At 34.9% G+C, this 27,415-nt stretch overlaps 1 long non-coding RNA gene across 1 annotated transcript; it reads left to right on the top strand.

The window, feature by feature from the left end:
• The first annotated feature begins 5,324 nt into the window (after positions 1 to 5,324).
• Positions 5,325 to 27,109, top strand: LOC105378801 (uncharacterized). The gene is made up of 3 exons (XR_947518.3): positions 5,325 to 5,408; positions 21,773 to 21,862; positions 26,796 to 27,109. It is a non-coding gene; the product is annotated as an uncharacterized LOC105378801 (long non-coding RNA).
• The last annotated feature ends 306 nt before the right edge of the window (positions 27,110 to 27,415 follow it).

The following is a 27,415-nucleotide window of genomic DNA, read 5'->3' as shown; positions in this document are numbered from 1 at the left end:
TGTACAAGTTTGCTATTTAGGCATATTTTATTTCTCCTAGCTATGTATCATATGACTTCTGGGTCATATGATAATTCTCCTCTTTAGCATTTTGAGAGACTACCATTTTTAAAAATACAAAATGATTGCTCATTTTCCATTTTTACCAGCAATGTATGAGAGTTCCAACTTCTCCACATTCTAGCCAAACTTATTATTGCCTGTGTTTTGATTTTAGCCATACCAATAGAAGTGGTATTTTCTTGTGGTTTGATTTACATTTCCCTAATGACTAATGATTCTGAACATCTTTTCATATGCTTATTGGCCATTTGTACATCTTCTCTGGATATTAAAAGTAACTAGAATCCACATTCCAGTCCTCTTCTTTGGATTGTTATTGTCATACAAAATCCATCTTTTTATGCTATAATCCGAGCAAACTTTTATAACTGTTGCTTTATATAATGTCATTTAAGATAGATAAAAGATGTGTTACATACAAAAATACATGTTTACTTTGTAAAATATTTACTTCTGTAGTTTCCTTCATCAGTACTCTTTATTTCTTCATGTGGATTCAAATTACCTTTTAGTATACTTTATTTACACTCCCAAAATTTTCTTTCTTGTAGGACAAATCTGCTAGCAATAAACTTTTTCAGTTCTCATTTATCTGGAAATGTTTAATTTTCTCTTTGTTTTGAAGGAGAGGTTAGATTAGTTGACATTCTTTTTCTGTCACCACTGAAGATGTTCTTCCACTGTCTTCTGTGGTTTCTAGCGAGGTCAGCCTTTAGTTTGAAGGTTTTTGTATGTGATAAATCATTTTTCTCTTGCTGCTTTAAATTTTTTTTCTTTGTGCCTGACTTTTGACAATTTGGCTGTGATGTGTCTAGATGTCTATTTCTTTGGGATTATCCTACTTGGAGTTCTTTGAGCCCCCAACTAAGCACAACTCTGAGTCAAATCAAATAGCCACCACACTCTAAGAATAGTGATCCCAAGGGACAAGTTAGGACAAAATATTGACTGTGCTCTTGGAATGGTGCTTTTCACAGAGTTCCAAATGTGGGCAAATATTTCCACTGTCTACAGTGCCACTGGCTTTAGGTTACTTACTGCACCAGTGAGCAAGGTAGAGAAGGGATGGGAATAGCCCCAGTGTGAAAAATCACTGACCGCGCCAGTTTAATGACTTAACGGTAGAGTCACTTGGATAGGCAATTTTCAGTTTGTTCTGTGGTTTTAGCTAAATGCCAGAATTATAAAATAAAAGATTTTAGTTATTTTGCCTATATTTTTATTATTTTACAGGGAGAATGAGCTGAACAAAGTCTTCACTCTGCCATTAAGGAGCTGAGCTCCCCTCTGTTAACTTTTAAGAGCAACAACAACAAAAACATCTATTACAGTTGTCTGACTGTAAACCACACTAGTGAATATAATAAAGGATTCAGAAACTAGGCATCCTGTGTTTGAATCTTGGCCCTACCATTTGTTATGTAACCTTTGGTAAATAACCTTTTACACCTTTATTCAGTAATATAATGGACATCATAGTAGTGTCTAGTTTATAGGATATTCTGGAGAATTTAAAAAATGAGATAAGTAACTTGGAATTGTACCTACCATATAAACATACTCAAAAGTTATCTATTTTTTTATGCTGTACCCTTAAATTATCAAGAAAGAGAACAAACATTTCACCATAAGATGTGTTCACACTCTCTGTTTCTCTTGCAGAACATTCTCTTCTTTGAAGTGGAATAAGGTTACTAATCTGTAGATAAGAGCATATTAGATATGGCTGTTATTATTGCTCACCTTTAGTTACATCATAGTTAAACTTGTACACTAAAGAAAAGTTACACAGAGTAATGGAGATGCACTATTAAAGAGAAAGATACATGAGGTGTCCTTCCAAAACCAGTCTTTCTAGGGAGAATCACACTTGATATTAAGAGCAAAAAAGTCAATATAAGTGAAAAATATTAATAAAACCCTCAGTATACTATGGATAAGTCTTAAGGTAGAGAGTATCCACTGATCATTAAGGAAAATAAAGAGGGTAATGGTGACTATTGAGAATGGATCTCCAGATTATTTTCTTTTTGGAAACTCTAAAATTTTAGCTGAAATAGAATTGTTTTCATTTCTGTGGCCAAACAGCCAAAGGAATTCGTTTGATAAAGTACAGTACAACTAGTATCCCTCTTTGCTACTATGGGCCAGGAGTGTTAGTCAACTTATTTCCATAGCAAGTCAAGGTTTACATGGTGAATTTAAATTTTCAGGAGCAGTTCACTGTTTCCCCCTGCAGTTTCATAAGAACTGATTGCAAAGTGACTGAAAAGAGTGCAATTTTCACAATATTCCAACAAGAGACACTTCATACTGACTTAGAAAAATTATGCTAGATCCTGTTCAGTGAAGCACTAAAACAAAAAACACAAGTGGTTTGGCCATGCTACACCATGCATAAGGTACTGGATCCATTGTCATTGTCACTGCTTGCCAGATAAGAACAAAGACCTCGGAACGTAAGGCACTCATTGATTTGTTTTTGAAGCTTTGATTGCATGTCATCAGCCTGGGTGAGTTTGGTGAAAACAGAGAAGCAAAATGCAGCATTTTCTGGGCAAGTCACTGTCAGGAACTGAGGTAGATGCTTTTGGGAAAGCTGCTCAGTGAGCTGTGACTTGTGAGCTCAAGCATTTGTCCACATGGTTTTTGTTATGTGGCTGTTTATCCTCTGTCTCAGAAGTTGATTTATGAAGTTTGACATGGTGCTATATAAACTCAACACTGTGCTACATAGAAAACAGGAGAAAATGATATATTAATTCACAGCGGCCCAGTTGTTTTGAGATCTTAAGTCCCATGCCATAGCAGGACAAATAAAAACTCATTAGAAGTGAATATTTCTGTCCTTCATACTTGAAAATGGGCTTTTGAGCAGCTGCCAGGAAGATCTCTGTAGACTCTAGGAAGTTTTTATATCCTGTACATAAGTGATCTCTACTTATGTGATTTACACTCTGTCACTATATTTCATTTTATTTTCTGATAATTCCAACAACCTATCTCAAATAAAAAAAAAAAAACAGATTTAAACTTAACATAGATTTTCATAAAGTTACACATGGAAGTAATCTGGAATGTCCAATATAGTGCATACCCAATTATACCCACAAGCTAATTTATCTAACAATAAGAATGAGTCTTTAAACCGATATTATGGTAGGCTGATGATAAAGGTTTCCATATATGATAGCAGAACTATGACTTGAAATGTAACAAAAAAATAACTGGGAAACTCTTTGTAATTATCTTTCTTTTCGATGCATATGCACCTGATGCAAATCTCAGCAAGTAATTCAAGTATAAACATGTTACATTCTCTCTATAATTGAATGAAAATTATTTTTCAAAAATATTATTCTAATGAAGGAAAGAATTATAATCCCCATCAATTTATTGTATTGCCTTGCCCACTCTGTTTCCCAAGATTCTATCTTTGGTTCTAGGGAGCTCTAGCAGTGGTAAAGGACGGGGCAATGGGCAATGGATGGCCTTTAGGCTTCCATCACATGGCCATGTCATCATCTGTTAAGATGTCCTCTTTTAGGTTGCAGCACTGTTGCAACACACTGAACCTAAATGCAAGCCCTTTCCTGGTGTTTTTGTTTTGTTTTGTTTTGTTTTGTTTTTGTTGTTGTTGTTGTTGTTGTTTTCCCTCTCAGCTACCAACTTACCACTCCCTGGCACTTGGGAAACATTTGCTCTTTCTAAAACAACCTGGAATCATGAGGTAACAGGTAAAACTTAAGGATTTTTGTCCCATGTGTGCCACATGCTAGGAACGAGAAAAATTGGGCATTTTAAAACATTTTCCCAGGATCCCATTGGGAACACAGCACAGAATTCTCTGCTCTTCAATATTCCCAAGGTTATCTGAGATTTCCTTGTACAACCCACTGAGACTATCTTAGAGAAAGGTGGAAAGGCTATAAATTAATTGAAATTTCCTTGGGGTGACCAAGATAAAACTACCCTTTGTAAAATAGAGTCATGAACTAGAAATTAAATTTTATTATGAAGAAAAAAAGTTACATTTTCTGTTCACTATGTTTATACTCTAAAATTTATATTTGCTACATTAAATTGCTGGCTGTATATAATAAAAGTAGCTGCCATATATTTAACTACTACTTTTCAGGTCTCATACTAAGTATTCTTAATGCACTATATTATTTAGTCTTCACAACCAACAAAAGAAGTAGCTACTTTATATCTAATTTTTATGATTCTCTATTTATTAGCAAGTATACTGAAACCCTATAACATTATCAATTATTATATCAATGTTACATAGTTTGTAATTGGTAGAGTCAGGATTTTAACATAAGTCAAACTGACATCGAAATCTACATCTTCACTCTGTTTTAGGTATAAGGTGTTTTTAGTAGAAAGATACATGTGGAAAGAAAATAATTTACTTTAGATTCCTATAAGCATGTCATATGGTCAGAGTACTCTAGTTTAGTGGACAGAGATATATGATTCTGGTATTAATTGTTTTCCATTTTATATTCAGTAACCACACTTGAAATAATTGAGGCAGATACCATCATACAAAGATAATTTGATGCAGTAGCTTTGTAGTCAATGTGGTAACTAGATTCCAAAATTTTCCCGTAATAATTCCAGTCTCCAGGTGTTCATGCCAAGGTAGCTTCCCTCCACATTAAATCCAGGCTGCTTCTCTGTAACCAATAAAATGCAGTAGAATGACATTGCTTTGTCTCACAGCTAATCTAGATCATAAAAAAGGTCCTGCAGCTTCTTTCTTGGTCTTTTAGAACTTTTGCTTTTGTGAATCTTCCTTTTGCAAACAACTACCATGCTGAAAAGCCTGAACCATATGGAGAAACCATGTGTAATCACTGTCTTACAGCTCAAGAAAAATGATCAATCAACAGACAACATCAACTCTGTTACACAGGTGAACCGTCTTTGATATTACAAACTTAACAGGCACCTGAGCACCTGATGCTTATAGCACTAGCTGACGTCATGTGGAACAGCTGATGCTAATCAAGGGACCAAAGCAGGAACAATAACAAAAGAGTTTTTCTTTTAACTTATTGGATTCACATGGGGCTAAGGTGATATGGTTTGGCTGAATTGTAGTTCCCATAATGCCCATGTGTTGCGGGAGGGAGCCAGTGGGAGGTAATTGAATCATGGAGGCGGTTTCCCCCATGCTGTTCTCCTGATAAAGAGTGAGTTCTCACGAGATCTGATGGTCTTATAAGTGTCTGCCATTTTCCCCCGCTGGCACTCGTTCTGTCGCCTGCTAACCTGTGAAGAAGTGCCTTCCGCCATGATTGTGTTTTCTGAGGCCTCTCCAGACATGAGAAACTGTGAGTCAACTGAACCTCTTTTCTTTATAAGTTACCCAGAGTCAGGCAGTTCTTCCTAACGGCGTGAGAACAGACTAACACATAAGGGAAGGTTGTTAAGTAGGGATAAATAATCCTAATAGTCCGAAAACCTGATTCTGTCCCTACATTTCTATGGGGCTTTAGAAAAATTACTAAAACTGTATACACTTCAATTTTCTTATCTGTAAAATTGAGAAAATAATAGTACTTCAACAGAAGTAGAATGAAATGAGATATTATGTGAGTGGATTTTTTAAAAACTATAGCAGCTCTAAGTGTATATTAACTAGTATTTTTGTTTTATTTTGTTTTCTGATAAGGTATCATGTGTTGAAAAATTAGATGACTTGCCTAAGATGAATAACTAGTAAGTGGCCTAGAACTTAAGTTTAATGGCTTCTATGAACAATACTCTTTCTACTTCTTTGCGGGTCCAATAATATCTTCTATTTGTAAATAGATTTTTTTATTTTATTTTATGTTGCCCTTCACAAAATAGGCATTTCCTCATAGGTAATGGAAAGTAATTTTCTTTGTCAAGGAACAGATAAGTATTTCATTTTAAAATGTATGCCTTTTGGCATATTTTATTGATGGTTATTGAATATAATTTTGTCTAAAACAGAAGCAAAATATCTTTGTCAGTGCACAATAGTATTGATTATAATATTTTCAGTCACAACTTTACACCATCATTGCATATTTATATTATGCTCTCACAACAAATCTCACATTCTGTATTACCTATTGGTGCATAGGTGAAAGTAAAATTTGTTTCTTGGCTAAGAATTTTGTGACCAAATTATCATAGATAGATAGGCTTTGGAAAGAAAGTCAATAAATGTAAAAGAGTATCAAAGAATATATTTATATTATATATTTAAAAACGAAAAATGAAGAAATTTGTTTATTTGATATATAAAATGATTTTTTAATTTATTTTTTTACTTGGAATTTCTACTTTCTTTTTTTTTAAATTTTATTATTTTTATACTTTAAGTTTTAGGGTACATGTGCACAACGTGCAGGTTTGTTACATACGTATACCTGTGCCATGTTGGTGTGCTGCACTCATTAGCTCGTCATTTAGCATTAGGTGTATCTCCTAATGCTATCCCTCCCCCCGCCCCCCACCCCACAACAGTCCCTGGTGTGTGATGTTCCCCTTCCTGTGTCCATGTGTTCTCATTGTTCAGTTCCCACCTATGAGTGAGAACATGCAGTGTTTGGTTTTTTGTCCTTGCGATAGTTTGCTGAGAATGATGCTTTCCAGCTTCATCCATGTCCCTACAAAGGACATGAACTCATCATTTTTTATGGCTGCACAGTATTCCATGGTGTATATGTGCCACATTTTCTTAATCCAGTCTATCATTGTTGGACATTTAGGTTGGTTCCAAGTCTTTGCTATTGTGAATAGTGCCGCAATAAACATACGTGTGCATGTGTCTTTATAGCAGCATGATTTATAATCCTTTGGGTATATACCCAGTAATGGGATGGCTGGGTCAAATGGTATTTCTAGTTCTAGATCCCTGAGGAATCGCCACACTGACTTCCACAATGGTTGAACTAGTTTACAGTCCCACCAACAGTGTAAAAGTGTTCCTATTTCTCCACATCCTCTCCAGCACCTGTTGTTTCCTGACTTTTTAATGATCGCCATTCTAACTGGTATGAGATGGTATCTCATTGTGGTTTTGATTTGCATTTCTCTGATGGCCAGTGATGGTGAGCATTTTTTCATGTGTTTTTTCGCTGCATAAATGTCTTCTTTTGAGAAGTGTCTGTTCATATCCTTTTACCAGTTTTTGATGGGGTTGTTTGTTTTTTTCTTGTAAATTTGTTTGAGTTCATTGTAGATTCTGGATATTAGCCCTTTGTCAGATGAGTAGGTTGCAAAAATTTTCTCCCATTCTGTAAGTTGCCTGTTCACTCTGATGGTAGTTTGTTTTGCTGTGCAGAAGCTCTTTAGTTTAATTAGATCCCATTTGTCAATTTTAGCTTTCGTTGCCATTGCTTTTGGTGTTTTAGACATGAAGTCCTTGCCCAAGCCTATGTCCTGAATGGTATTGCCTAGGTTTTCTTCTAGGGTTTTTATGGTTTTAGGTCTAACATTTAAGTCTTTAATCCATCTTGAATTAATTTTTGTATAAGGTATAAGGAAGGGATCCAGTTTCAGCTTTCTACATATGTCTAGCCAGTTTTCCCAGCACCATTTATTAAATAGGGAATCCTTTCCCCATTTCTTGTTTTTGTCAGGTTTGTCAAAGATCAGATAGTTGTAGATGTGCAGCATTATTTCTGAGGGCTCTGTTCTGTTCCATTGGTCTATATCTCTGTTTTGGTACCAGTACCATGCTGTTTTGGTTACTGTTAAATCATTTTAATAAAATAAAAATTTAATGTTAAAAACTACTCATTTTGCAACTTTGTTAGAATGCAAATAATAGACGAAATTTTAAAAAAACAGGTAGTTTTTAAAAAAAATTTCAAACAAGTAAAGTATAACAAAGCTGATTCATTGACTTAGCATAACCTGGCAGATACTTTACCTCTTTATATGGGTTAAACCTGAGATCTCATTAGACTGTCAATCTATGGAACTGTATTTTTTGTTTTACCCCGTGGTAAACTCTAAACTTTTATGACAGTTTTTCTTTTTGTATATGCAGAGATGTATGCTTTTGTTGTTTTTATAACCAGAATGAATGTAACCATTATGCTGCAAGAACAGGATTCTATAGGGTTTGAATAGGATACATTTTTTTTGTTTTTCATGTAAATCTGTGGACTCATTCTTCTTTGCATCTTGGGTGAAATTTCAGAAGGCTATAACTATTCAATCATTCTAATATATTACAATTTATTTTGATTACTTTGGCCAAATAAAAGTTATAATTTAGCTGTTATAATACCCAACAGTCTAATATAGAAATTCTGAACATCTTTTAAAGTTGTGTCTTCTTACCTCACTTATCTTGGAACAACTTGAATCTGAGAAGCTTGCAATGGTGAAGAAGGGCCTACTAAACCTCTTCTCTATGTTTTTAAGTTAATATTTATTTCCCTTGTACCTCTGCCCATTCTCTGCTGTTTCCAACCTTCTAGTTATAGCTGTGAGCAAGGCAGAAGAGATGATATGAGACTTAAAAGGGCTTATTTTACTGGTACATTTGTGAATGGCATTGGTGCATACTGCAAATAGTCAATTGTAAATGTGGCTTTTCTCACATGAATGCTTCTGTGGGTTTCTCAGAGATTTTCTCATTGAGAACACCCAACTAAAAGTTCTATGATGAGCTGGATTTTCTCTGGTTTTCTTATTATTCGAGCCCTCAGTTCCTGGCATTTTAAAACCTTTTCAACACCACTGTATATTGGAGTACTACAATGCCTCCAAGAGACTCTCTTGGGCAAAGTCCCTGTGAAGATAATTCCTGGCTGGCTCTCTACAAAGTGTCCCACATCTGGTTCATAGGTCATACTCATGTCTACTATACACAGCTTCCTCCCAATGTAGCCACCTTTTTCTCCCTCTACCACTAGACAGGGCATTCCGGACCCAGATTTTTATCTTTAGTATTTTGGATTTAGGCCAACTACCATTAATTTCTGCACTTTCACCGCCTCACCTCTCCTAAAAAATTCCAGGTAATACATGTCAAATCTTCCATGTGGCCCTCTAAAGTTTCTCATACTAGGCTTGAGGTGGATGAAAGGCCTCCCCTCACACTACTGCGAACGACTCATCTTGTCTTGACAGCGAGGAGACACAGAGGGAAAATTTATTTAAAAAAAATTACTTTGGCCAGGATTTTTCAAACTCAGCTTTTTTAGATTATCAAGTCCATTGACCAAGTGGGGAAAATCCACCCTCAATGTGTATGGGTGCCATTCAGTTGGCTGAGACCCTGGATTAAAAAAAATAATAATAAAACAAAGACATAGAAAAATATGTACCCTTTCTCTTCTGGAGCTGGGACGTGCTTCTCCTGTTCTTAGAAAGCGTAATCCAGGCTCTCTGGCCTGTGGATTCTGGACTTAACAACACCCTCTCTTCTCCCCTCACCCCAGGCTGTCAGGCCTTTGGCACAGATAGCCTGTTGCAGGACTTCTCAGCCTTCATAATTGCATGAGCCAATTCCCATAATAAATCCCCACTCTATCTATCTTATCTATCTATCTATCTATCTATCTGTCATCTACCTATCTGTCTATCTATCATCTATCATCATCTTCATCAAAATCTATATCCTATTGGTTCTGTCTCTTTGGAGAACTCTGATGAATACATCCTGTTACACAAGCATTGGAAACATTAAAACATAAACAGTTCTTCCAATTTTCTTTCAACATTGCTCACTAAAAGAACGCATGACATGTAGGAGTCCCACAGCCTGAAAAAAATGTCAAGATCAATACTGCAATGTATTAGGATATATTAATGAAAGTTTACTTATATGTAAGACTATTTTTTACAGTGTTAAGATTGAAAAGGTGAGAACAAACTAAATGTATGGCATTATGGGAGTAGTTTAATAAGTTATAGTACAACTATACAATTAGACATATAGGAAAAATTGATATTTTATAAGAATTAGATATAACAAATATGGGAGAATGGGGGCACTACAAATCTGGAAATGGGGAATGGGAGAAAGAGTTGATAATCAAAATGCCTAAACCAAGTTGGAGCTTTCAGAGACATCAAAGAAACCAAGCATATTTGGACCCTAAAGAGGAACCATCAACAGGGACCCCCTGACAAGTTCTGTTGAAACTAAACTGCCAACTCTGAGGAAGCTGTTCCTTATGTGTAGTCATCACTGCTGTAGGTCCACAGCCAAGCCCTTAACTTAAGTGGGCTTGAATCCACTTTTGGTTTAGCATGGCCAGCAGTCAGGAAGATGAGTTGGATGTGAAACAAAGAAGAGTGAGAAATAGTTGGGCATCTCCATCTGTCTGTCACTTTGGCTGACTGTGACAACATTCTGAGAGTAGTGGTTTCTGCTTTACTTCTGCCAAATCTCATGCACTTTCCTCTTTTAGCTAACTTTTACCCAGAATTGTACAGAGAAGATGATTCTGGAAAACAATGTCCAGACTTAGCAGACTTTACATAACATGTACCAGCATACTCTTTTTAAAAAACTTGATTTCAAATACTAAGAATAATTTCATAACTACTAATCAGTTTAACTTATCCAATATTTATTTGTTACCTACTATGTGCTAGTCACTGTGCTTACATGGTCCAGGCATGTGCAAAAATGGATTCTACCTCCACAAGAGGCATAATCTAGTAGAGAGGAAGAATGCAGGTGAATATAAAATCCCAGAATGAAAAGCACAGTAACAGGGGAAATATAAAAGGATTTGAAAGTACATAAACACTGCATCTAGTCCAGACATGGGATCAGAGAATGTTTCCCAGATGCAGTTACTTTTAAATGGGTCAGTAAGAAAAAATAAATCTAATTTATCAGAAGCATTTGTGAGAGTGTATGTGCATATATTAGGGGATAATTACATGACAGGATGGGGAGTAAATGGCACACAGTGAGTGTTTCACAAAAAGCAAATATTTTAACACTTGAAAATACCCTGTAGCAGATATTGTAATGTCCTACTTTTTGTATGCCTGACTTTCTGCCTGAAGGCTTTCTGGCTACAAGAGCATGTTTAGCCTAGGGCCATATTATGACTTCTGTGAACCCTAGACTAATTGGTTTTGAGGTCCCCCTTCTTTATTAAAAAATTTTTAAACACTATACTTTATGACTATGTTGAAATGAGATAAAGACAATCTATACTAGATTGTAAAATCTGAATCCAAGTTAGTCATTTAGACTTAAATATTTTCTTTGAGCATTTTTTTAAAATAAAATAGCCACTTTCCAAATAAGACCATGGAAGTATGTGTAATGGAAACTAGTAATCATTTAGCTGATTAGATCATTGCTAATGTCTAATTGAATTTATTCCTGTGTGTAAAATATAAATGTATGGTATTTCAATCTCATGCATAAGAATAGTAGACTACTGAACTAGTCTAACTTCAGAGTCTGAAACATTTATTAAGAATTTACCATTTCATTTTTCCAGGTGAAATTTAACATTTTAAAATATCTCTTAAGAAACTTCTTACCAGTTTTAGTGTGTCACTTGTGGTTTTCCTTACAAATATGAGTTAGGTAACCTGTTGGAAGGGTTAGCTTGTAGAGTACCTTTTGATTCTATCCACAGAATGCATCTATAACGAATATTACAAGCAAATCTGATATATTTGATATTGTTGCATATTTTTCAAGGGAATCTCAGCCAAATGGGCTGATAAACTTTTTATTCATCTAGCCAAATTAAATGGAACATGTCTACTCCTAAATTCTAAAGTTGGTCACTAGATATGATCACCAAGTAATTTACATTCCTGACTTTTTTTTGCCCCTTGATATTCCAGACAACTTATGTGACATGGCATGAAAGGGGGAGTTCATTTAAAGGGACATATACACAGTAATTATTGTCTATTTCGTCTAACTAATTTTCTGTGAAGTTCTTAACCTCTTGGTGATAAACTTTATTTTATTGTTCTTGCTTGCTTATTTGTGTGTTTTTTTGGGCTTATGTTCAAGAAATAAAATCAATTTCTATGAACATGTATCCTCATGAGAATAAAAAATGCACCTTCCTTACAAAGATACTCAAAGCTCTAAAATAGTTTTATTCATATATAGTTATCCTAATGCCTTTGAGATACCAATGAATACCTTTCTTTCCATATTCCTGAAATCTTTTAAATGCTAAATCAACTTCCCAACACTCAAGGGAAGAAAAAGTGGAAGATTTTGTTTGTCCTTTTACTCATTTACTCATCAAACACCTTTTTTTGGTTTTTCTTTAATGATCTGCTACATGATACAGTCCTTGCCCTCATGTAGTAGAACAACTAAAAGGAAAGCCGAACATTTTAATAATTATTAAATTGTGAATTAATTTCTATCAATAAATAATTGACAAAAATATGTTAACCAAAAATTAAATTTTAAGTCCTTCAACTCACTGACTGGATCCCCCTCTTGGCCAAAGTGATTCCAAAGAAACCTGAAAAACTAGTTCAGGCCATGATGGGACACTTGGGTTGTACAAGCCTCATTATACTCTCCTCTCTTCGGAGTTCGGGCACAACTGACCAACACTGACATTAAAACAGAAATTGTTAAGATTGACAAAACAGACTTAGCAATACGATGCCAAATTTCAACTTGACTCTAGTATAGCATCACATGACACATACCAGGCCCTAAAAGAAAATAAAAGTATTTTATCTGAAAATACGTTTCTTTGACATATTTTGAAATGGCCTTGCAAAGCTGTCTCTTTTAGGGGAAATTTATGTTCTGCAGATATTTCCCTTTCCTTTCCAGGTCTTTTTCTAATCTTGAAGAGATGATCTGAGAGTCTAGCACCTTTTAAAGGTCTGAATTTGCCAGCTATTGCCTCTAAGGGTAGCCACCTATGAGACTTCATCTACATAATAAGAACCTTGGGCTCCAGAACTCTTTATCTTTACCCAGATATTCCTTTCTATTGAATCCAAGTCTTTAGATAATAATTTAAATCTTTCAACCAATTGCCAGTCAGAAAATCTTTGGATCTGCCTATGACCTGTCAGCCCTGCTTTGGGTTGTCCTGCCTTTCTGAACCAAACCAATGCATACCTCACATGTATTGACTGCGTCTTATATCTCCCCAGAACATATAAAACTAAGCTGTAACCCAACCACCAGGGGCACATGTTCTCAGGACCTCCTAAGTCTGTTTCATGGGTCATGGTTCTCACATTTGAATTAAAATAAATCTGTTTAAATATTTTAGAGTTTGGCTTTTTTTAATCAACAATTATAATCACTTGATGTATTAATTAATACAGTGTCTGCGTTCCTTTTCCATGGTAAAGAAAATCAATTCTTTGTTTTTTAAAAGCATTCTTAGGAGGACAGAGTCATTCCAACTTTTCAAGTTCTATGTTTTCAAATCCTGACCACTCTTTTAAGAAAGGTCCAGTATAAATGTTCCATGACACCTTACCTGATTTTCCATCCATAAGTGCTTCTCTCTTTCAAAACAATAGAATTTAGTATGAGACTTTCTTCTGAAATGTATGACTTTCTTTCATTTCTTTTTCTTTTTAAACATGAAGTTATATGTACTTATGTTACTAGAGAGTAAGAATTTTTAAAATTTTAGACTATGATATTTAAATTTTAATATTCGGCCATTCACTGCAATATGTAACCAATAAATATTGGTAAATTAACAGATGCATAAAAATGCAAAAGGAGAGTGACATCAGCAATATAATGGAATGGGAGACTCCTAACTATTCTTCGTCCTACAGACACACCTAATAAACACCTACACATGGATCAATTCTGTCCAGAGAAAGCCAGAATCCAGTTGAAAGACTCAAATACACTGGATAACTAATAAGATACCCACATCGAAATGGGTGGTAAAGTGGAGATCCACTCATGCACTAGCCCCGCCCTGAGCAGAATGCCTTACACTCAGGAAAAAAAATCACAACTCCTAGGCTCTTCCCAAGCGGTCTGAAGGGCTTATATCATACATGTAGTGCCCAACTTTTGTAGTCCCTGCCAGAGGATTTGGCTGTTAATTCACTGTGGTAGAAGAATGGCAGGGACAGGGCAGAGAAAGATTTCCCTCAAGCACAAAGAACAAAGGGGATTTTGAGCTGCACAAGCACTTCCAGCAGCTGTAGCCCTAGGGATCAGCCCAGCTTCCAACTTCCCCTGGAAAGGGGTTTGGCTGCATGCTTTTCCAGCAGTTCCCAGTGGTTCTGGCCTCTACTTATCAAATGCAGAACAAATCTCCTCTGGCCTAAATGGGAGGAATGGCATTCCCAGTACCTTCTTCCTCGACTTTCTCCAGAAATAATTTCAGCCCTATAATCTCTCCATGAAAAGAGGCTACAGGCCTTTGTCAGCAAGAAAAGGAGGGCAGCACTCCTGCACCCTCTTCCCTGGCTTGTTCCTGAGACAAGATAAATTTCTGCAATCTCTCCTATTCATAAAAAGTTCAACAAATGTCAGTCATACTCTTGACAGATGGGACTTTTCTAGGCAAAGATAAGAATGGCCTGAAACAAAATAATGGTTGAAGATTTGGGGAAGAGAAGGTGGAATCTGTAATTATTTAGAACTTAAAGTTGGCAGCATTTTGTGTTTATTTGGTAGTGGGTAGTAGGAAGGAGGGAGAAGCAAAAAGCACCTCCCCAGTTTTGTACTCAGTTTTGGATGACTGATTGGACCATTATGAGACTGCAATATTAAGAGGATAACTAAATTGGTTTTGGAGCTTGGCTTTATCACTTTTTAACTGTATTATCTAATAATATTAGCCTTTTGGACATTTAAGATTTCTTGCTGTCAGAATGGAGATCACATTACCTACTTCGTAGGGTTGTAATATGTATTAAATAACACAGCATATCCAGAAAGCAACTACCACAGTTCCTAGAAGGAAGCATCAGACACTATAAACATTAGCTCTTGGCTGTAATAAACCATGATCTCACTGCTACACTCCAGCCAGGGTGGCAGAGTGAGACCTTGTCTAAAAATGACAATAGCAATAACAAAAACCAAGCAAGCAAGCAAGCAAGCAAACAATTTGTTTGTATTCATCTTCTATCTCTAGTTTTTAATCCCAGCCCATATACAGAAAAACTGTATGGCATGGTGAATAAGTGTTTTGACTTTGAGTTAAACAAAATGAACTCAAATTCTGGCTGTACTGAATACTATTTGATAATAATAAGTTACTTAATATTTGTAAGCTTCAGTATCAATCTGTGACATGAGAATAGAAATGTCAACATTTCAGTGTTTTCCTAGGGATTAAGTGGGATAATATATTTAAATTGTCTTGTGTAGTGCATGACATATTGTACCTACACTTAATAAACAATAATTATTTGTAGAGTTCTCCTAGAGGACAATTTAAGGGAGTCCCCATAACAGATTCAAGATTCCTTTTTTGATCCCTGTAATATTTTTGTGCATCCTTACTTAGTAGACATATGTCTGTTGTTACCAGTAGCAATAAATTTCAAGTTTGAATGACTAGGACAATTGTGTATCTGCACTCATAATGCATAATACGATGGAAATGTCATTCAATTGAAACTATTATTATTATTTTGCTTGAACTTCAGAACCAAGAGCAATTATTCTTTAACTGTTCTCCTGCCAGAGTTCGAAGCATGATGTGACAGTCTGAAACATTTATACAGTCCACATGATCACCAGCTTCCATGCCATTTGTACTATGAAAAAAATATTCTGTTTACTTCAAGTTCTGAGTAATTCTTTTCGATTTTTGGAAAGCTTGATTAGCTGAAACAAGCCTGGCTGAAACAGAATATGCAAGTATTGTATAAATTCTGTTGGGGTATATTTTTTAAAGATTGTGAAAAATACTGCCAAATTTGATCCATCTGTTCACATATGAGTTCTTCAATATTAATAGGCTGGGCAATAGGGAAATTTATTTAATTATTCTTCATGGCTAGTGCATCAGGTAACAATTATCTTTACTTTCATCACAGCAGTGCTGCTGTGCAATATAAGCTCAATTTGTGTTCAGAATATGATTTTAACTCCTACTGATACTCTGGCAATTTAAACAGTATTATAATGTTACTACCTGCAGAAAAACAAGCAAATCAATAAAAGCAAAAATCAAAAACAGTCTGAGTGAGAACTGACAGGACCCAAAAACATTTCTTACAATCTGAGTCCCAAAGTACTTTCTCTAGGATTGGATTTATGTAGATTGATTTGTTGGAAGTTTCATGGTGCAAAAAGTGAGGGTCCCCTCTTAGTTTTGCACTTTGTATTAGTTTGGACAAACATATAACAATATCAATCATTTTTTATAATTTTGAAATGATGGGTCTTCATCTATTGTCAAGGCACACTTTGGTAGAACTAGCTGAAGAAACGAAGGTAAAAATAAGAGACTTCTAGAAGAATGGATTATGGAAAGAAAATAAAATCCACACTGAAACATTTCACAAATTTTCCTTTGGGCTAAAGAGTTTTTCTTGTTACAGTTTTCCCACCAGTCTTCTACCATTTGTATTTATATCTTGACCCTAAAACTTACGAGCAGTGATGGTTAATCTCTGTGTCAATTTAATTGGCTTGACCACAGTACTCAAACACCAGATTTGATCAAACACCAATCTAGATGTCACTGTGAAGATTTCTTTTAGATTATACTAACAGTTAGATCTGTAGATTTTGAATAGAGCAGATTACTCTCTATAATGTGAGTGAGCTTCATCCATTCAGTTGAAAGCCTTAAGAGATAATGACTGAGGCCTCCCAAGAATGAGCAAATTCTGCCAACAGACTGCCTTAGGATTCCAGTTGTAACATCAACACTTCCCTGGGTCTCCAGTCTTTCAGATAGATTTTGGTCTTGCCACTAATTGTGTGGGCCAATTCCCTAAAATAAGTATCTGTATATCTTCACACATCCTTTTAGTGCTTTTTCTCTGGAGATCACTGACTAAAACACTAGCTATGTGACCTTGGGCAAGTGATTAACTCATTCTTTGCTCAGTTTACTCATCTATTAAATGGGAAAATTACATGGTCTTCACTGGGTTATTATTGGGATTAAATAAACTTGTATATCTTCAGCATGTCCGGAACAGAGGAAGGCATATTATAAGTGTTAGATGCATATTTTCTATTTCAAAGAATTTAAGGCCATGCTTTCTGTTTCAAATTACCTGCTCTACAATTTCTTCCGGAGAAATCCTGCCACAGTGGAACAGGAATCATTTTTTACCGAGGATATGAATTTTAAATCAGAGGTCTCTGATGCTTAACGAGAGCACATAAATTGCATTTATTTATTTTTTATGTCTCCCAATCTACATAAGCACTGTCTTATTTGTTCTCCTGCCTGAGATCTTCTAATATAAAATTACAATTTCTCAGAGTCAGACAGGATATCTGATTCTTGAAACCCTGAAACTTTTTACTCTTTCTTAGTTGTGCATAGGACCTTTAGTCAGGGTAATCAGCATATTAAAAGTAGATGTACATACTGGTTTTATTTTCAGATGAAAAGGTATGATACAGTTTAAAGAACAATGAAGTCACTAATGGTTTAATACAGCACTTAGTGAAGAGTATATGTTCCCTGAGTTAGAAAAAAAAGCACTTTTAAAGAGTCCATTAAGAATCAAGAAGTAAAAAAGTTTTGGGCTGCACAAAGCCCTGAATAAATTATACTACTACTACTTTTAAAATAGAAAAATTGATTTTATCAAAGCTGAATTCCTTACCAAACCCTGGTCCTAATAATATCACTTCTGAACTGCTTCAGTGACATTCCAACTGACTTCCCAACCACCAAATCTTTCTTACAGCCTCACCCTTAACTACACTATTAAGAATTACCCCTATCTATAAAATAAAAAATAAAAAGAGAAAAGGGAGGGTAATAATGAAGGTGGAAGGAAACTAGATCTGATTATGCCATTTACATTCTTTTGCTTTAAAAATATTTTCTGCTCTTGGTTTCCTTTTCCCTTCTTCGATTCATAAATCTCTCCAAAGCCATTCAACTTGCTGTCCTATTTCCTGATACTCCTTTGAAAGTCCACTCTTCATTTTTGCAGGATAACATAACACTCTTCACTGATGGAGATGGTTCTCAGGATATTCCACTACTTTTCAGAATGAACAGATTTAACTTCTTTATACATGCCGTTCCTTATTCCTAAAGTGCATGTCAGCCCTTTGTCTGGAAAGCTTTCATTAAGTCTTCAACTTTCAATATATTAACTGTATATAGCAAGGGTGGTGCATTAGTCAGTATAGAATAAATGCTGTAACAAACAGCTTCAAAATCTCAGTGGCTAAACATAATAAAATAAGTTGTATGTCACACTATTGGGTATTTGGCAGGTTGCCTTCCAGAGTAATGCAGGAACCCAGACAACTTTTATTTCAACACTGATTTTCTATGGTCTCAGAGTCCTCCATTGGATTCTCTACATTTAATCAAGTGTTGAGAGAAGAAATGTCTTATGAGCAATTTTAAGGGCCACTTCTGGAAATGCCATGTGCCATTTCTGTTTTCATTGGTGAGAAATAGTCACATGGCCTTTCTAGTTTCAAAGCTCCAGGAAGGGAAAAATCACAGGGCAGTTGATGAACATCCAGGGAATTTCTGCTAAAACAAGTTACATGTTACTACATCAGTGTATCCTCCAAAGTGCGTCTCAGGCAGAAATATTTATTCCATTCTTAATGATGCAACAGTTTTTTCCCTTGTAGTGCCATATATCATATGGAATTATAATTTATTTATTTTCATACCTACTTCCTTCAGAGGACTGAGTTTTTAGAAGAGGGAAGCTATGTTTTATTTATCTTTTCATCTCTACCAATTGTTATCATATTTGACATATAATGGTGTATAATAGATACTTGTAGGTGAGTGATTTAAGAAATAAATACCATTCGAATATATCTCATGTAATTATAGGGAATTCATCTGACTACCATAAAATTATTAAGTAGAATGCGAAACAACTTTTGTGATTTAGTATTTCAGGAAGAAAATAGGGTTCCATTGTCAAAGTAGGAGAAATAGGGAGAGAAAAAATAATGGTGAGGTAGCATTATGGGAGGTAAAATGAATTTTTTTTTATCTTTTTACTTTTCTAACAATGTATTTGAGTACTACATGCCAGGGATTGACCTTCGGTTATGTAAGGAAGAAGATTGCCTTTAATTATAGAAAGCTTAAACAGTTGCACTTTAATGAAGACAGAGAAGATCTAAGTTTTATGAGTTAGCCAAAAATAATTCTGAATGTAATATTAGAATACAGACTTTTAATTGGTGATCATAAGTCAGGAATACACCCTTTTATCCAGCAGCCATTATAAACAAACATTTAAAACATTTATAATATGCTAATGTATGGTTTCTATGTGCAATCTAAAGATCTATTCATTGCCATATTATTTTATTATAACGTAAATATTAATGTAGATGTAACTCCATCTAAAGACTCTACCTATAAAGTAGTACAATATAAAAATAAATAAATACATAAGGTTAGGACAATTAATGGAAAAAACTAAAAAAGCAACAATAACAGAAACACTGACTAAGCTTTTAAATAAGTATGTAATTTCTCTCTGTATATAACTGAAATGGGGATTACTTGGGTAATTATAAATGGATATTAGCATAACATTCTAAGTAAGAATAGTCTTTCATTAGCTTTGTAGGGCTGGCATAACAAAGTATTACAAGTTGGGAGGCTTACAGAAACCCAGAAATTTATTCTCTCACAGTTCTGGAGGCCAGAAGGGCAAAATGAAAGTGTCAGGGCCTGCTGCTTCCAAAGCCTCTGGTAGAGGATCGTTCTTTGCTTCTTCCACTTTCTGATGGTTCCCATCACCTTGGCATTCCTTAGTTTATAGATGCATTACTCCAATCTCTGCCTGTCTCACATAATTTTCTACTTGTGTGTCTGTGTTCAAATTTTCCTCTTTCTATAAGGGCACCAGACTTATTGGATTGAGTACTCATCTTAACTTGATTAAATCTGAAAAGACCCTGTTTACAAATAAAGTCACATTTACAGACACTTGGTATTACAACTTCAACATATCTTTTTGGAGAGACACGGTTCAACCCATAACAAATGTGTAGGGAAAACCACACCCAGGCAGTTAGTTTATCTCTTTGTTTGTTTTCTGCATTTCCAGTTATATCTTTTATTGTTGTTTATTGATGTTTGTGTGAAGAAATAAGGACATTTTACATTTGGAATAGAACTGGTGTCACTTCTTCCTTTAGCTTCTGGAAAAGCACTAACATCCCATCCTGGCAGATGCTAGCAGCTCTCTTTTCTCTTTTTGTGCCTAATGAGAGCAGCTAGTATTCACACCCTAAGTTCCCAAACAATGCAGTAATTCCAAACTGCCAGTGATTTCCACAACCCCAACCTTGTAGGAATGAAGTCTCTCAGGCTCACTTTTCGTACAGTTTTTGACAGGTTTTTGAGGTTTATTTTCCATCCCTGGCCTAATGAGAATATTTGGTATATGAATCCAATGGACATACAGCTTAAGAAAATGCACTGTAGTTCATACACCTAGCTGTCCCCAAGTAGCACTAATGTACCACAAAGTCCTCTCTCAAATATATTACCATTAAACTAAAACAACAGAGTAGTCTCTTCCATGCAGAAACTTCCTGTCTCAAAGACAAATTAAATGTGAATTTTGTCATTTTTCTGCTAAAATCTTAAGGAAGACATTCAAAGGTTTCTCTTGACCCTTTCTTTGGTTTCCTGCAGTAAAATGCATCAAATTGTTCAATAAAAACCTTAATGCCAAAGAGAAGAAGAAAGCTGTATATTGCCAGGAAATTAAACAATACTATACCTGGAAGGGATCATGCTGTGATAGCTAATTAAACATTTGAAATATTGGATTTATGAATTTATAATATTTACTTCAAGCTTGGTTGCTTTTCTGGCTCTCTTTAATATAATTCACCAGCATAAAGTCATATGAAGTTAACTTATTAAACACACATTCATACCTCTTGGTTCCACAAATTTAACATTATAGGTTGTTTTGATTTGGAGACTGAAGAGTTGGAGAGGCATAGGTTTTAAATTCTCTCAGACAAGAGGTTTTATTTTTTATATGCGGATCATGGGAAAATATAATTTATATGTAAGATATGTTTCCTGATGACAATTTATTCAAAAAATGTTTTAGCACTTACTGTATGCAAAACTCTGTGCTAAGTGCTATCAGGGACAGAAGTGTGGCATTAGAGAGGAAAAAAATTATAATGTTTGAAAATGTGATAGAAACATCAAAGGTAAATGAAATTAGCTATGTAAATTAAGAAACATTAGTCATCATTACTTCATAGCTTCAATGAGAGTATAAAATCTCTACCATCTCTCAAGATAAAAAAGTAAAAACAAAAAGAAACTTATCTTGTCCAAATAATCTGTCCTAGTAAGCCTACTGACCCTTCTCTTGCCAACGTAACAAATATTTTCCTCACACTATGCTATTATGAGGAATATAAGGGGAACTTATATGTTATTAACAAATATTTTCCTCACACTATGCTATTATGAGGAGTATAATGGGAATGTACATGTTATTTCTGCTCTTTAACTACCAAATAAGCTGGGGAGTTTTTAGAAACTTTGCTTCATTGTTTTGTTTTTGTTTGTTCTTGTTTCAGTTTATTTTTATGAATTTCAGCCAAGGAGTTGTCACCCTCCTAAAGCACTACAATTAAATCTAGATTGCTATTCCCATCTGAGTATTTATGGTAAGAAGTTAATTCTTGAAAATAAAGACTGAATAATATAGATGTTAGTTATAAATATTTCTCTGAAACATCAAGCTAAAAAATTTTAAATGATCCAAAATCCCACGACCTACATTTGCTTATATGGCCTTTTTACTCTTGTATCTATCTCAAGTGATCAAGCCACTCTCTATCTCCCTAAACTATAAGAACCTAAGTTTCTGATTACATCCAGAACATTTAATTTCCTCAGAAATTTATGTTCCATTGAATCCATTGAATATAAAAGTCAAGTATCAAATATAGATTTGAAAGTCATTTGTCAGCTAGGTTCAACGTGGTTATGTGTGTATATATATATATGTATGTATGTATGTATACTGGCTCTGTATCTTCTTTCTTTCCTTTTACAAACTCTAATGATCCTAGTACACTATTAAAAATCAAAGAAAGTTGATATATGTCATACAATGAAGAATAATGGGGTATTCTCAGTCACTTTTCAGTTCCTTCATCTACTGAATCACTTCACATTAGATATTCAACAAATATGTATTGAATCTTATTAGGAGACAGACACTCTTCTAGATAGTAGTATACAGAAAGAACTGAACAGGAAGGCAGAGGTTCCTGCCCTCAGTTAGCTCACCTCCTGGAAGAAAGAGGAAGGCAAGGTTCAAATGAATAAACACAATTATTTCAAAAATTAAAAAGTTTTAAAAAAATAAATCTCAGTAATATAAAAGAGAATGATTGAGAGTGACAGTAACTCAATGGAGGCCCTCTCTTAGAAGATCTAAATGAAGAAAATGATTTGCCTCTGCAAAGAACATTGGGGATAACAAGTCTTTAGCCAGAGGAAACATTTAAGTACCAAAGACCAAAAGCAGGGACAAGCTGTTCAAGGAACAGCAAAAAGGCCAGTGTGGCTGGAGTTGAGAGTAGTAAGATAATGGCTGAGAAGGAAGGTATTTGCAGATTTTAAAAGGTCTTATAAAGCAAACTGTAGCAAAAAAAAAAGTGTAGGTTTTCTTTCGAATAAAACACATTACAACTATAGGAAGATTTTTAAACAAAGCAGTGAGGTGCTCTGAGTGATATTTTAAGTAACTTAGGTGAGTTTGTAGTAAATGCATTGCAGAAGAATGTATCCTGAGGGGCAAAGAGTAACCTCCATAATAGCCACCAAAATCAGTCGAGTGTGTTTAAGATGAAAGTGTCTCTCTCAGGTAGACAGAGAGGCAGGTGGTCAGCAGTACATAGGCATCTGTCCTCCACAGGATCACCCCAGGACCCAGATTCTTCTCTATTGTTGCTTTCATGGTAATGTCATTCTCTGTTCTCTGTTATCTCCATTATTTTGTGACAGCTCCATTTCCCCCATTGCAGCTGATTTACCAGCATTATGTCCACATTCCAGCTTACAGAGAATGAAAAGAAAGTGGAAAGTAAGCAATTTCTCTTTTTAGTGAACATTACACACACTACTTCTGCTCACACTTCACTGTCTAGAATTAACTGTATGGCCACATAACCAGCTAAAACTTGTAGCTCTATTACTAAATGGAAAAAAAGAAATGTAAGTATGGAAATAGGGAAACCAATACAAAAGTATATACAGCCATCCTATTCATATAAGAAAGGATGTTGTCTTGGACTAGAGAAGTGGCAATGAAGAAATTACCTTGTGAACACAAGGTGTCCTGCCACACATTGACTAAGCTGTAGAACTCAGTCCTTACGCTCAATGGGTCCAAGGTCAAATGGCTTTACTTCAAATATTACCACCATATTTACTACTTTGAGACATTCAGTAAATCACTCAAATTTTATTTTAATTTTCCACATTTGTAAGTATAAGATGATAGTAACACCTACCTTTTGAAACTATTGTGATAATTAATAGAGGTGTTACACAGGAATACATTAAAATAGTGCTGGGCATGCAGTAAGTTCTCAATAAATGCTACGAGTTTCTGCTTTGGGAGTTGATGGAGTTTATGTCTTAGCAGAACAAATATGCTAAAATAGAATATGAGACATTATTCTTTTAATAATGCATTATTTCCTGGAACTAAAAATCTAGCCACCTCCCTTGGTAATCTAATCTAATGCATTTCTTCTCTGCCCCTTTATCTGGGATGCCAAAGAAAGAGAAAATATTCTTCCATCTGGTTATGCACAAATTGTATAAAATTAAGAATGCTTATTTGTCCTAGGGTTATCTGTTAAATCTCTTTCAGTTAATGGCATTGCTCACTTAAAGCACCTATTTCATTATATATTTAACAGCCTCACATGATATATCACATTGTTAAGTTTATCTGTGTTCTTTAACCTTGGAGCTAGATATACTTCAAAAAGACGTCACTACATATTTGTAGGAAAAAAAGTAGCTGCAGTTGATAGGGAGTAACAAAGATCAATAAAAATGCGGTTGTCATATTTCCAGGAAGGAATGGAATAGCTCTGTTCTAGTGAGTTCTCAAACCAATTTTGAACAATTCAGGATTATTAATAAGACTTGACCTAAAAGATGGACAAGGAAAAAGTAGGATCAGCATTGATCACTAACAAGGTATTCAGGATCATGGGACATGGGGGAGGTAGAAGCAGATGTGTGTCTTAGTCCTTTTTGTGTAGCTGGAACAGAATAACAAATTGGGTAATTGATTAACAGTAGAAGTGTATTTGTCTCACTGTTCTGGAGGGTGGAATGTTCAAGATGGCAGGGTCACATCTGGTGAGGGCTCTCTTGCTGCATCATAACATGGTGGAGGATATCACGTGGTGAGAGAGCATGTGAGAGAGGGCAGAGACCACGAGGGGGCCAAGCTCAGTTTTATAAAAAGCCCACTCTCACAATAACTAACCTACCCCTGTGATGATGACGTTAAACCATTCATGACAGCAGAGGTCTCATGATCTAATTACTTCTTAATAGGACCTGCCGCCCAACACTGTTGCACTGGGGATTATGTTTTCAATACATGAACTTCGGGGGACACATTCAAACCTTAGCAATCTGTATGCTTGTCTATGAAAGTTACTAGTGAGAAAAGATTTGTGAGCATTCCCATAGCATCTCAAGGACGAGGATGTTTTGCAGGTTGGAAAGGAAGAGAGAAGAGAACTGAAATTCACACCACCAACCCTCAACATTGAAGTGTTTGGATGGAGGTGGCATTAAATAGCTGAAAATGATCATTAAAATGTTTTTTATTTGGAGATAAAGATACTTTTTCAGTAGTAGTGTGATAAATACTCATATACATGAAGTTTATGTGTGGCGGAAATCCTTGAAGCAAACTGTCCCCAAAGCAATATGAAGATAGAAGAAAAAGAAGTTTATTGGCATTATGTTTACTCTAAATGCAATTTTATTATGGCTACTAGAAAAATGGCTTGACAGTTGTACAAATTGAATTAGTGGTTCACTCTCTTATTCATCATTCTTGTAGAAGAAAAGAACTAAAAATTACATTATGGCAGAAAATCAAGATCTCTGGACACCCTTCCCAGGAGAACTGTATCCAAAACCAGCTATAAGAAACGGTTCAAATAACACAGATAGGATTGATTACAGACGGCTATAAGTTGCTTTCTGCAAAATGAGGCATTTAGTGAATAGATCTGAAAGGAAAAACATTAAATAATAAGAATATGAGAAAAATGCAGAATATCAGAATGCCCTCTGGTGGGAGAGATAGTTTCAAGCAGGACAAGAAGCCATATAAAATCTAACAGATTTGATTATATACAAATTAGTAAAATGTCTGCATGGCAAATATACCCAAACAAAATAAAAAGACAAACAGCAGATTGAGAAAATGTAGATATACAAGATATGATAAATGAACACTTAATATGTCCTTAGTATTTGAGGGGTTCCAATAAATTTTAAAAATGTGGAAATAATTTCAAAGAATATAAATTCATGAAGAGGAAATACAATTGGTCAATAATCATATGAAAAGAACTTTTGCTTAATTATGGGGCACTTGGACACGAAAGTTAAAAAAAAGGTCTTACCGATCAAATTTAAAATTGTTGAAAATCGAAGTTATCTAGTTCTGACAATAACATGCAGAATTGGGCTTTTTCTTTGTTTTTTCTGAGAATGTGATTTGCTACAATATTGCTAGAAAATAATATGGTATTACAAAATACATTTTGAAGCACATATAATCTTTGGCCCAGATATCACACTTTTTAGCGTCTTTCTCACCTACAAACAAAAACAAAAAACAAAAAGAAAACACCTTTCTATAAGATTACTTGAATAGGGAATTTTAGTTACAAAAATGTTGTTTAGAGTGAAGAGAATACTATAAATACCTGAATATCAATTTGCTGCAAAGAATATTGTATTGATATTATTATGAAAGAAAAATTCAATATCTATAAAAATTAAAGAAAGATTGGGTATCAAGGCAGAGGAGAAGTAGGTACCTAAGTCAACCAAGGTACAGGAGGCATGGGGCTGATCACATGGTGGCATTGCATTACCTAAGATCTAAAAAATTATCTAGGACTAAATTAATATAGAAAAAGAGCAGCAGCAAGATAAAATGAAAATTGGGGTCTTTCCATTTTAAGATACTAGCTTTCCAAATCTAGCTCAAATCTATGATCCTCATTTTTTTAAATCTGAAAAATAGAGATAAAATACTGAAATCATACGGCTGCTGTGAGAATTAAAACAGATGACTTTAAATCACTAAGTGTGGCTCCTGGTAGACTATAAGTGCTCAAATCTGGGAAAGAAGATGCTGTAGGTATCTGAAGACTGCCCAGAATCAGGTTCACTAGGATTGATCTCCCTATTGAGATCTAAGATTGGCACAGTAAAAGAAGAGACAGCCTGACCCATTGTTCATGCCAACCTTGCATATGAGAAAAAGTGTTATTTTGAGTTTAGTTGCTTTGAAATATTGTTTTTTTTTTTTTGCAGACACTTCCTGAGTACATAAATATTCATGAGTGCAAATCAAATTTTGCAGTTATCATCCAAATTAAAAGATTCAACACCCCTTCAGAAGAAAATATGCTGTGAAAATATACTTTTTAAAGTTTAGTTCCTTCGATGTAGAAGATAAAGCTTCAAAAGAGAATTGAAATTTATGGAACTTAATTTTTTGTTTGTATTCAGCAGAGAACAAAGAAACCAAGACTGATTCTAAATGTCCCTGTTTCTAGAAAGGAATAAAATTTGCTTCTGTCACCACTTCAGGCGAGCCTCTCACAACCCCCCAACTGCACACTCCATCAAGAAAGCCTGGAGTTGAAATTTTTACAAAGAATAATAAAACAAAATTACTAAAGAAATACTGATTCATACAAATTTTTTCATTTTGCTCAGAAAAGGAGGCAAGTCTGTATAACTTTCATGAGGGTTTTTTGTATACTTTCTCTGTAGAAGTTAATGGATATGTAGAGTTGAGTGATGGTTAGCTACATAGCAAATGTAGAATTTTTCTCTTAATCCATTTTAGCTATTTATTGGCAATTTAAAAAAATCCAGGTAATTATCTATAATTATCTTTTCTATTTTTTATTTTTTAATTTTTTTAT

The sequence above is a fragment of the Homo sapiens genome, chromosome 1, assembly GCF_000001405.40.
Source record: "Homo sapiens chromosome 1, GRCh38.p14 Primary Assembly".
Classification (NCBI taxonomy): Eukaryota; Metazoa; Chordata; class Mammalia; order Primates; family Hominidae; genus Homo; species Homo sapiens.
This window is presented reverse-complemented; position numbering and strand designations above follow the sequence as displayed.